The sequence below is a fragment of the Homo sapiens genome, chromosome 20, assembly GCF_000001405.40.
Source record: "Homo sapiens chromosome 20, GRCh38.p14 Primary Assembly".
Classification (NCBI taxonomy): domain Eukaryota; kingdom Metazoa; phylum Chordata; class Mammalia; order Primates; family Hominidae; genus Homo; species Homo sapiens.
Genome location: NC_000020.11, coordinates 46,242,205 through 46,254,976, shown reverse-complemented (window position 1 = coordinate 46,254,976; position 12,772 = coordinate 46,242,205). Strand labels below are relative to the sequence as shown.

General features: G+C 50.9%; 1 protein-coding gene across 6 annotated transcripts in view; it reads left to right on the top strand.

The window, feature by feature from the left end:
• The window catches only part of CDH22 (cadherin 22), a 134,760-nt gene that overhangs the window by 53,522 nt on the left and 68,466 nt on the right, over positions 1-12,772 (top strand). For 4 of the 6 annotated variants that reach the window (XM_047440373.1, NM_021248.3, XM_024451967.2 and 1 more), the window contains exon 2: positions 3,284-3,937. In XM_047440373.1, the coding sequence (XP_047296329.1) occupies positions 3,683-3,937 (255 nt within the window). In that variant the 5' untranslated portion in view covers positions 3,284-3,682. Of the gene's footprint in view, positions 1-2,503; positions 2,703-3,283; positions 3,938-12,772 lie in introns of those variants that run through there. The other 2 variants (XM_011528994.3, XM_024451966.2) reach the window with 2 other exon arrangements.

Sequence of the window (12,772 nt, the reverse complement as noted above, 5' to 3'; positions counted from 1 at the left end):
TGGACAGCCCTTCTACAACAAGCGTGCCTTCTCCTCCCCAACACCCCAAATTCCACATGTCCAGATGCATCCTGCACTTTAGCTGCAAATGCCATCTCAGCTCATTCCAACCTCTGGACCTTTGCATGCTGTTCCCTCTGTGTGGAACTATTTTGTGCACAGCTCCTTCTCATCCTTCCAGACTCAGCCCAATGCCACCTCCTCTGAGAGGCCCTCCCTCCCTGATACCATATCTTTAACAACGCACTCACTCCATTCCTTCCATCATTCTCCCTCCACTTCGTCCTTCTTTACTTTTCTTCTCAATGTTTACCACTCCCTGAAATTATACTGTAGATTAATTCCTCTATTATCTGTGTCCCCCACCAGAAAGTCAGTTCCATGAGGGCCAGGACTTCAATTTTTTTTTTTTTTTTTTTTTTGAGATGGAATTTCACTTTGTCACCCAGGCTAGAGGGCAGTGGCATGGTCTTGGCTCACTACAACCTCCACCTCCCAGGTTCAAGTGATTTTCCTGTCTGAGCCTCCTGAGTAGCTGGGATTACAGGCACCCACCACCATGCCTGGCTAATTTTTGTATTTTTAGTAGAGATGGGGTTTCACTATGTTTACCTGGCTGGTCTCGAACTCCTGACCTAAAGTGATCCACCTGCCTCGGCCTCCCAAAATGCTGGGATTACAGGCACAAGCCACCTCACTCGGCCAGTACTTCATTTTTTTATTGCTATGTCCCCAGTGCCCAGCACATGGACTGGCATAAGAGAGGTGCTGGTAAACATTTGTGGAAAGAGTGAAGGAATAACAAGAAGAAATGCATCTCTTTGCTGATAGATCGCTGAATAACTGATTGCATCTTGCTGTCTTAAACAGAAAGCGATTGTTAACGTATGTTCAATAAATGAATGAGTGAAAGGATAAAACGCTGTTCTGTCTCCCTGCTTGTAGCAGACCCTCATGTTTGGTGACTGAATGAATGGATCTCTTGCCTCCCATCCTTGTCAAAGGTGTTAGAAACAAAGAAATAAAGGAAAGGAGGGAAGGAGAGCAACAGCTTGGTGCCCGTGAACACTGGCAGATCTCCCCTTGACATGCCACTCCATCGACCTCCACAGCCCTCTCCAGAAGTGACAGCAGCCTCCCTCCAAATTCTCTCTCCCTTCAGCCTCTCCCCTCCTCTGCATCCCTGCAGGGCTGTGATGGGCCCTGGAGCTGCTTGTTGGAGTTGGGGGAACAGTTCCCATGGGGCACGCAGGGAAGCCATACGCTCCAGGAAATGAAGGCTTTGGAGCTGCACCTCCTCCTCACCCATAACTCCAGTCTCATTACGACCAGCCCAGGTCATAATGCAGGGAATCAAAGCCGGATCCCTGGAGGTGGCAGCACAGAGCAGGGCTTGCGGAGCAGGGCTGCCAGGGTTGGGAAGCCTCGTGCCCAGGCCCATAGAAGTCATACCAGGCAGGGTATGTTCACCACAGGATCATGGGTCCTCCTGACCCCATGAGTTCAGGCTTGGACCTATAGGGAAAGAGGGAACAGCGTGTTCCAGACCCCTCCCTCCATCCCTCCCTATGGAGTGTGGACGTTTTCCCACTCTCATTGCCCAGAACTACAGCTTAACCCCTTCACCGTCACCCTCACCTTCCAGCAATGACTCCCCACCCTGAAACTCCTTCCATAAAGATTTTCCGGAGGAGATGCTAGAAAAAAAAGCACTGGGGAATTAGGCATCTGCAAAATAGGCATAAGACAATTTTCAGAGTTGTGATTCCCGTGAGTTAAAGGGAAGGGCATTGCCCACTGTGATGCTGGGTTAAAGAAGGTGGTCTGCGTTTCTTCCTCCCTAGAGTTAGGCCACTTTCTTTGTTCTCAGGAAGATCTGGCTAGGGCCAGGTCAGCCTCCCACCCCAACCCACTACACACCATCTGCCCAAACACACACCCCTGCTCACAATCTAACTCCCCAAACTGGCCAGACCACTCAGCCACCATGCACACTCCTCTGCCTGAAATGCCCATCCCTTTCTTCCCATCTGCTCAGATGCCGCCTCCTCCAAGAAGTAACCCTGATTGTCTCCCGCCTACTTTCCCTTTCCAAACACCCGAGCTCAGTCCCTTCCCTGAGCCCCACAGGTCTCAGGTTGTCCACACAGACACTTTTATAGCCCCGATCATATGCCACCTAGCATTTAGGTTGTTATAAGAAGGGTTTCACCTTCCACCCCACTAAACTGTGAGCTTATTTACCTTGCCCCTGGCAACTGGCCAAACCTGGCACAAAGTTGAAGCTTGGTGGAACTGAGCTGTTGAACTGAGCTGAACTGGGATCAGGAGAAGGAGAAGTGGGGATTGAGCCCCTCACCTCCACACACTCCTCTCTGTGCCTGAAATTCCTCCATTAAGCAGCATCGCTGTCCCCTGTAAACACCCACATTAAGCCATTATTCATCTTATGGCTTGAGTAGGCGTTAGTCCCTCAGATCCTTTCCTGCTGAAAGCAGGATCTGATAGAGAGAAGGGAAGAGAGATGGATGGATCTGGGGACGGCAGGCTGGTCCAAGAGTGGGGAGGAAAGATGTCTCTCGGACTCTGGGAAAGAAATATTTTCTGGGGGAATGTGGAGGCACCAGAGGCAAGCTCAGAGGGGTTGTGACCCTGCCCGGAGTCACTGAGGGTGTCTCCAAGCCAGGCCCTCTGGGACTCAGGTGCTGTATCCCTAGAAGCTGGTGTGGGGGTACGAGCACATCAGAGGGCCTTCCCTTGGTGCCTGTTTCAGATGGAATGACCTGTCTGTGCTGCGATGGATAGGAAGGCAGGCATATTTGGTGGTGGGCTGGGTGCTGGACTTCTGTGCACCAAGGAGGCCTGGGTCTTGGGGGCTCTTGAAGATGCCTTCTAGAAGCACCTAGGGTGGGGGATTTCTGGGGGCTGGGCAGGGCTGGAGAGATTGTCAGCCAGGTCAGGGGCACCGCCTACTAGGGTCTCTCCTTGTGTGGGCATGAGGGCTGAGCGGGGCAGGGGCTGTGAGAAAGGCGTAGGAGATTGGGAGTACAGGGCGTATGATGCCAGGTGAAAGGAGAGGCTGCGATGTGCGGGAGAGGGCGCCTACTAGACTATGGGCTCCAAGAAGAGGGGACCACTGTGAGTTGCTATGATGCCTGTCCCACCCTGCACAGTACCAGGCACACAGCAGGTGTTTAATTAGTACCTACAAGAGGAAAGATAGACTCAACTTGCCCTCCCCCTACACAGAAGCCCCTCTAATGTTTTCTTGTTTCTCTTGCAGGCTCCTGATGGAAAGGGAAGGCCCCTAGTCCTGGCAGGATCTGCCGGCCCCAACCCGCATCCTTTCTGCGCAGGAACCATGGCGCTTCCCCGACTCTGGAGCTGTCCAGGTGCTGCCTGGTGATCCGCACGCGACGCGGCGACGGGGGCGCGGGCGGGCACCCCGGGGGCTGTCCATGCCCCGGATGCGGCCGCGCCCCCTCCCCCTCCAGCCGGGTACCCCCGCGGCTGGGCGGCGTTCAGGGCCGCGGGCCCGTCCGGGTGCCCCGTCGGGGGCGACATCCCGGCGGCCGCGCTGAGGCCACCATGTGACACGGCGCCGCATCGTTGTGCGACCAAGCAGCGGCGCCCTGGTGCCTCTCGTCCATGCTCCTGGGCCCCAGCCCCGCGCAGGCCAAGGATGAGGCCGAGGCCCGAAGGTAGGGGGCTCCGGGCGGGAGTCGCGCTGTCCCCCGCGCTACTGCTGCTGCTGCTGCTGCCGCCGCCGCCGACGCTGCTGGGGCGCCTGTGGGCAGCGGGCACACCCTCGCCGTCGGCGCCCGGAGCTCGGCAGGACGGCGCGCTGGGAGCCGGCCGCGTCAAACGCGGCTGGGTGTGGAACCAGTTCTTCGTGGTAGAGGAGTACACGGGCACGGAGCCCCTGTATGTGGGCAAGGTAAAGTGGGGCCCCACTCCAACTCCAGATCCCAGGACCCTGGGGACACCCACGGGTAGATACAAGAAACCCTTGTTCACCTGCCCTTTTAAATCCATGTTTCATGTGCCTCTTCTGCTCCCTAGCCAAGGACTGATAAGGGGGCCCAGAGCCCCATTCCCACTCCCACTCCGCCCCATGCCCTCCTCTCCTTCCCCTCCCTTTTGCATCTTAGAAAGAGCCCAGCAGGCAATCCCATTCCATCCTGTAGCTAGATGCATGTGGGATTTAGGAACGAGTTTGCAAATCCGATCATCTCACACACATACTCTAGCTGCTCCACTCTGCTTAAAATTCTTCAGCAGCTCCCTATGCACTGGGGTCTAGCCCAGATTCTATCCATTGACTACAAAGATCTGGCTCCTCCAGCCTCATCTCCTGCCACAGTCTCTGAGTTTCAGCCTCACTGCCCTTCCGTTGCTCTTCTGAAAGTCAACGTCCCATGCACACTCCTGCCACTGCCCCTTTGCCTAAGTTGTTTCTCCTGCTGAACTGCCCTTTCCTGCTCCTTCCACTGATGACCTTACACTCACACTACAGCTCCAATGCCACTTTCTCAGAGAAACCCTTCTTGCCCACACCAGGCTAGGACAGATCTGCTGTCACATCCCCCGTGAGGTCCCAGCATCTTTCCTTCATAACACTTTAATTATGCATGTGTTTGTTTCATTGTGCAATTAATGTGTGTCTTTTCTATTAGACCATGTTTGTTTTGCTCGCCGCGAAATCCCCAGTGCCTAGCACAGACATTGCTTGCAAACGGTTTATTAAGTGAATGAATGAATGAATGAATGAAACTACTTTCTCAAACTCTCTGAGTAAATGCTGGTAAATCTGGCTGAAGATCTATAACATAGGCATATAAGGAGCTGAGAAGGACTTTTATTCATCCATTCAATTCCTGAGCCCCTTGTGGGGCCCATGTGTGATGCTGGGGAGAAAAGGTGAGTGAGATCCAGCCTCTGCCACTTTGGGGATCCCCAGAGTGGCAGAGGCACCCTGGTGCATGAAAAGCTTCATGAGTCAGCACCAGGCACTGAGTAGGCAATCATTAAATAGTATATTTTGTCTGGCTTCATGGAGGAGAAAACACCTGAACTGGGTTTTGACATACGTGTAGGAGTTCATCAGGCTGGTGGGAAAGAGGACGTAACCTAATCAAAGACTTGGAAACCTGAAGGTAGCTGGTTTGCTCAGAGCCTTGTCAGCAGTTAAGGTGTTGAAGTGGAGGGTGATTGTAGGGCATGAAAGTGGGGTGGTGCCCCGGGACAGTATCTGGCTTTTGTTAGGGCCAATTAGCTTTCCAGGAAGTCTTGGTCAGCAATGTGGGTGGGGAAAGAAAACTCCAGAGCTTCCTGTGTGCTTAAATGAGTGTGGGAACCGGGAGGCAGTTCTGAGGCTCAGAGATCAGGATCCTTGACAAGGAGAGAAGGAAAATCTAGATGTAAACCTTTGGGTTTGCCTTGCAGGAAGCTCAGATTTTCTCTGGTCTAGACACAGTAATACCTGGCCCAAAGCTCCATACATGTGGCTGAATGAATGAATGAATGAATGATTCCCACAATTAAGCTGAGCAAGGATTTGACAGACAGGGCTCAGATAGGTTCAAGGCCTTGCTCAAGATCATCCAGCAACCTAGTGGCAGGGCCTAGGACTCCTGACTCCCAGACAGGTGTGGGAGATGGTGACGCTGGTAGAATGGGGCAAGGGCTGGGGATGGAGTGACCAAGCCTGCTATATGATAGGTAGTAGCCAATGGTGAAACAGCTAAGAATGAAGGCTTTGGAGGCAGACACACCTGAGTTTGAGGCCTGGTTCTGCCAATCCCTTCACTGAGTGACCTTGAACAAGTTACTTTACTGCCCCAACACTCAGTCTCTTCATCTGTAAAAACAGGGGCTCAGAGAGCCAGCTTCCTAAGGTTGTTGAAGATTAAAGAAGAAAACAGAGCACATAAAGTGTTCAGCCTGTGGCTTGTTTGTTTGTTGTTGCTGTTTTTTATTATTCCCATATAAAGTACTTAACCCTTAAACTGCAAGGTAGAAATCATCATTCCCTTTTGTAGGTAAAGAAACCAAAGTAACAGAGGGCAAAGTCATAGAGTGGGCGAGTGGCATGGCCAAGAGTTGAACCTGTGTGAGTTAAAGTGTTTGTTGTTGTTGTTGTTGGTTTTGTTTTTGTTTTTTGAGACAGAGTCTTGCTCTGTTGCCCACCCAGGCTGGAGTGCGGTGACACGATCTCAGTTCACAGCAACCTCCTCGGCCAGGTTCAAGCGATTCTCCTGCCTCAGCTTCCCAAGTAGCTGGGATTACACCATGCCCAGCTAATTTTTGTATTTTTAGTAGAGATGAGGTTTCACCATGTTGGCCAGTCTGGCTTTGAACTCCTGACCTCAAGTGATCCACCTGCCTCAGCCTCCCAAAGTGCTGGGATTACAGAAGTCAGCCACTACACCTGTTCCCCTGAGCTGAAGTTTTTAAGCCCCCAAAAGAGAAAGAGAAGAGGTCAACCCCAGCCTGATTTTCCAGACCCCTCAGAGATTCCCAGACCTGGGAAAAGACCTTTGGTCCAGGAAAACCCTGGAGACAGGGAAGGACTGATGCATCTGCCTAAATGTCAGAGGAGGTGGTCATCCCAGGCACTTCAGCCTTGCTGTCTGCCCAGCAGCTGGGGCTCTGCAAAAGCCTCGCCAGCCACCCACATCCTGAAAAGATGAGAAAACCGGCTGCTGACTCACGCCTTCATCTGCCCCTACCTAGCCTTTATCACCTCAACAGCATGAGCTGACCCCATCCCCATCTCATGGAACCACAGTCTATAAGCAGGGGAGGGCCCTGTAGCTCCCTTCATTAGAAGGAGGGGAAACTGAGGCCCAGAGGCAGAGAAGATCATGCCAAGTCTACACAGCAACATAGTTGCAGAACCAACCCAAGAAACCAGGTCTCCTAACACAATCTCCGTGCTCACTTCAAGAGCCTCATATTAAGCAGCTGCCAGGAGCCAAGCACTGTGCTGGGCCCAGGGCCCTTTCTGTTTCCCCCAGCAACCAGTCCCCACATTGCCACTGCTGTTGTGACTTGTCACCCTCCTTCTCTATCACCTTCACCCAGAGCCCCTGCCCTGCTCTCTTACTCTCAAGGCCACCTCCAGAAAAACACTCCATCCAGGGAGGGAGAAGAAGTTTCCATCTCTTAGCAAATATTTGCCCAATGTACACTTTCTTAAGAGAGGTGGCATTGTGTGTGGTTAAAGGGCCACCTGGAGCTGTACTGCGTGGGCTCAAATCCCAGCTCGGCTGCTTATGATCTTCCTGACTTTGGGCACATTACAGTTGTCCCTCAGTATCTCTCGATGGGGGATTGGTTCCAGGACCTCCCATGGATACCAAAACCCAATATAAAATAGCATAACATTTGCCGATAACCTATGCACATCCTCCCATATACTTTAAATCATCTCTAGAGTATTGATAATACCTAATACAGTGTAAATACTATGCAAGTAGTTGTTATACTATATTGTTTGGAGAATGACAAGAAAAACGTCTGTACACATTCAGTACAGACCCAATTTTGTTTCTGAATGTTTTTGATCCTGGGTTGGCTGCATTCACTGATGCAGAACCCACGGATACAGAGGGCCAACTTTTTTACCCTCTCTGTGCCTCAGTTTCCTTATCTGTTAAGTGAGGCTATTACTGGGACCTAGCTCAAAGTCTGGCGTTGGGGAGTCAGTGAGTTAGCATTTGTCAAGAACCTAGAATACTCTCTGGGTCCTGGCACGTGCTCAGTAAGTATTCACTTTTATGTTGTTAAGTCTCACCTTGTAAGTCTCACTATTATGGATAGTTCCACCATCTTGAGTGTACCATCTAACTGTGAACTCCCGCCCCAAATCCCAAAAAGTCTTTTTGGCAACCTAACAGTATAGTTTCTTACCACTAAGTGGGGGGGAAGGTTGTCATTAGCCCACCCCACCCCCCAACCCTAGGAATATGAGCTTGGGCTTTTAAAAGCCACCTGTCCCCTTTCCAGCTGAGTCCCTCGTATGTACGAGTGCTTGTGTGGGCACATATGAATGCAAACACACACTCTCATACCACGCTCTCTCACTCTTCAGGAAGAAAGGACTTCACCACGGTTTCAGTTAATTCACTGCTTCCTGGTTCCCCCCACCCCAGGGAGCCGCTCGGAGCATCCGTCCTTGTCGAATTCTAAAGGTAGCTTAGCAACAGCACCATCCGCAGAGTGAACCCCGGGCGCCCGACGGTAACCTATTTTACAACCGCCTCCTCCATCACTCACCGCCAGGCTCCTGTCAGCACCCACAGGAACCGCTGGGCCCCGCGGTTGTCGCCAAGGCCCCACACAAACAGCTCCTTCCGCGGCCCTGCCCCCATTGGCAACCCTGGCCCACCTCTCCCCGAACCTTCTCACGACACCCACCCTCAAAGCAACCTCCCAGCATTTCCATAAAATCTGGGTACTCTGACTAATCCGTTTTCCGAACTATAATTTCCCCCGAGGCCTCTGTCAGCTGGATGTGGATTTTGTAGGATTTTTAATTTTTTAAAAAAAGATAGAATTATGGGGTCAGCACTCATGACCAACTCCTGTAGGTGGTGAGATCTATTTTAGATATACGGCAGGATTAAAGTGGGGAGGAGAGCAGATTTAATTAAGTTGCTAATATTTAAAGAAAATTGATGAACTCCTGGTTTACGAGTAGCACAGTCGTGAACAGACCCCTCATCCCGGGGAGGCTTTTTATTTGATTTGCTTTCCGTTTAAATCCTGGACTCATTTTATTTGCGTAGCCGCACTGTCCGTTTAATTGTCTTTAATAAGGAAAACGTACCTATGCTCACATTTAATTTTGATTTAATTAGGAGGAAGTAATTAATGGCTTCATAAATCCCATTTTTCAGCCCCCTGGGATGAGAAAACATCGCTCTTGTGTTTTTCATGTTGTTTATGATCAAGGGATGGGGCTTGAGGGGGATTTCTCCTCCAGGGCTGGCCACACTTGATGTGGTAGAAAGAATTCTGAATGTGGTGTCAGGCTTTGGGGCCGTCTCTCATTACCTGTGTGACTTTAGGTGGGGTTTAGACTCTCTCTGGGCCTCAGTTTGCCCATCTACACGACGGGGAGAGAGTAAGCTCTGATGCACAAGATGAGACATCAATGAGACAGCAGTAAAAGGTCTAGAACTGTGCCTGGAGTGTTTCAGGTTCCCAGCGACTGTCCATCTGTACCTGGGATTTAAGAGTGGCTGAATCCTCCAGAAATCCTAGAAGACAACTGGGGGAGTCTGATGACTGTTGTATATTTTATTATTCATTTATTCAATATGTTTGGTGCTGTGCCCCGTGCTGGGTGCTGGGGAGATGGAATAAACAGCCAGATGCTTGGCCCTCAAGGAGCTTGCAAGCTCACACTCACGTGCACTCACACACACACACATATTCAACTTTCCCACCCCCTGTATTTTCTCTGCAGGCATTGTCAGGGTACCTAGTGTGTGCCAGGCACAGAGAGTTCTGACAGAGACAAACCTAACTTAGTCCATACCTTGAGGCCCATGACAGCTGGGGACACAGATGTGCAACACTAGAAGTTAGAGGAGGGTGTGGAGTAGAGGGGCATGTGTACGGGGCAGGAACGGAGCAGGTGAGGTCTCTTCAACCAAATGAGAGGGCATCTGAGAGGGCTGCCTGGAGGAGGAAACAAGCTGAGTTTGAAAGACAAGAAGGCATTGATTGGATCATGGCCCCTGGATCTCCAGTGGGTCAGGATTTGAGTCTGTGTGGTTCTTGTATCAGGAGATAGGGGATGAATTAGGTGACCCCTCGACCCCTCCTGAGATTGGGACAGGAAAAGGAGAGGGAACTAATCTATATTGAGCACCTACTAAGCGCAAGGAGCTTCCATATATTATCTTATGAATCTTCAGAATATATGTGGTGAAGCAATATCAGTCCCATTTACAGATGAGAAAACTGAGGCTCAGAGAAGGGTAGCCACTTGCCCAGGGTCATGCACAGGTTGCTGGCAAAGCTGAAGCTGGTACAGAGCTGCTTCTGACTCCAAAGCACATAATCTTTCCTGATTTGTAGTTTGAGGTTCTTTCCCAAGTGGTAAAATGGAGGCTTAGAGAGAAGAGGCCACCGATGACTGTGGCCTGCACGGCACAGGGCAAAAGACTGGTGTCAAGGCCACCACCCAAGCTGTGCAGCCCAGTGGCCACCCAGTAACCCACTCCTTCCCCCCTTCCCCTTTTCTCCCTCACCCTCTGCTATAGGCATTGTAAGCAGACTAGCCAGATTCCCAGAGACTGCAGAGAAACCAAACTGGGCTTTGGAGTCAAACAGACCGGGGGCCATCTCAGTCTCTTCACCTGGAAAATAGGGATACATTTACAAACCCCACAAAGTCAAGTTGGATTTCTGCAGATGGCCTGCAACACATGTCTGACACATAGTAGGTTCTCAATAAATGAGAGCACCATCTTCCAGCCTCCACTCGCAGCTGAGAGTCCTGAGAAATATCTTCCTAGGGCAGAGCCAGAGGCACTCCCTCTTCACTCTGGAGCCGGGACCCAGGCAGGCAGGGCAGGCAACCCCAGCTGGGCCTGAATTCGTAACTCCCAGATCTTAGCTCCCGCCCAGGCAGATTGCCCCTGTCTGACTCTGCAGTCCCCAGAGAGCAGCCAGTAGGCCCCAGCGTGAGCTCTGTGTCATATTCCACAGAAGATGACATCACCACTAGGTTCTACTCGCTCCTCTCCATTCCTCACTCGTAAGTGAGCCCTGCCTGGGGTCTGAGTCAAAACATCAAGGCCTGCAGGGACATGATGGAGACCCAGGAGATGGAAAGGGAAGGAAACAACCATTAACAGAGTGCTTAGGTCAATGTAAACATGCTCTCATCTAATCCTCCCCACACCTGTGCCAAGTAGGGCTTGGTGTGATTTCTCAGGTGGAAACACAGGGGCTCAGAGAGGTAAAATTCACAAATCCATGGTCCCAACATTAGTGAGTGGTAGAGTCAGAAGCGTGCTTTCCACACTTAGCCATGTGACACAGCACATGACTTCCCCTCTCTGTGCCTCAGTTTTCTAACCTGAGAAATGGGAATGATAATGTTTCACAGGGCAATGATGAAGACTAGTAAGATTATAGCTGTTAAGCATCTCTTCAAATGGCATCTATTCTACCACACTGCTCAGAAGTGTTTGCTGATGAAATAAGCAGACAACAGATCAGGCTGGGAAGCAGGTAGAGGCACCCCAAAAGGGAACAGAATCACCCCCTCTCATCCCATCTCCCCTGGGGCAATGGTGGAAAAAACGTATAAACAGCAAACAGGAGAGACAGGTCTCCTCATCCTCAGCACTGCCAATGATTCAGGGCCGATGTCCTGAAATAATTTTATTGGGGGCATTAAACTGAGTTATGAGGTTTTTACAATCCAGCCACTTATGAGAAATCTATTAACAGTAACTGGACAGGAAGAAGGCTTCTCAGTGGAGCCCAGGACGGGCATTAATTGGGGCAATCTATAACAGGATGGGGACCCGGAAAGTTTCCACCAGACGCCTCCATTTAGTCCCCGCAATTTCTGCTGAGAATCAGCAGACTCGCCAAAAAGAGAGAGATGCCCATTAATCGGCTAATGAAATATGAAAATGTTTATGGGCCATTCAATCTTCCAAATGGCACTTCTATAATCCACCTTTCAGACACAAAGTTCTACCAGCAGAATTTATACCCCGGCTCCTCCTGCGTGGCAGGGGATGGGCTTTCGTCCCTCTTCGTGATGACTTCATGGGCACCTGTTCTCCTGCCTAGTGGGCTGGGGTCCCCAGCACCCCAGCCTGAAAGGAACTTTAGGGATTCTCTTGTCCACACTCCATCTCCATGGAAGCTTAGAGAGGAGCAGGGACCTGCCCAAAGCCTCATCGGAATGGATTTTCCTCTGCTTGAAGCTGCCTGGGAGATTTGGGCATTGGAAGATAAGGACTTAGGTGTTTCTGATTGCAAGAAAACAGACGTCTTGCTGGTTCCTCACCCAAGAGATCTCAGGGCAGTGAAAACAGCCTGGAATCTGGAGCCTAATAGTGCCTAGATTAAATCCTGGTTATATATAGCTAACATGCAGTAATAATATAATAATAACGATAGCTACCATCTGTTGGGCACTTATTATGTCTCAGACAGGGCTTATTTCCAGGTAGTACAAACTGGTACAGTTGTACTTGTTGTTAAAATCATGAAAAACCTCCATACCTGCAGTAAATAGTCCCTCTCCTCTCCCTCGCCCCAACTCTCTCAGCCCCCTGGGCCTCTCTGTGATCCAGCAACTGAAGGGTTCCTGCCTGGCCCAGCAGGGATCCTGCTGCAGTACCACTGCCTGGGCAGTGCCCCCACCGTGCTGGCTGCTAAATATTGTAAATGTCACTTGGTGGCACCTGCTAAGGGCCTTGTATGGATTCTCAACTCAGCAAACCCCTCAGTACCTCTGGGAGGAAAATGCTAATATGATTCCCATGTTACAGATGAAGCAACTGAGGGCCAGAGAGGCAAAGTGATGGGTGAGGATGCACAGGGAGGCGATGTCAGAGCCAAGGCTGGGCCAGGCTGCACTGTCTCTCCCTTCCCCTGGGCTCCTCTCCGGAGGCTTTAGATGGAATGGGAAAGCCCAGTGTGGAGTCAGACCAGCTCTTCCAGTGGCCTGACCTTGAAGAACCCATCCCACTTCTCCAATCTTCATTAGGAAGTGGGAAAAAAATCTGTA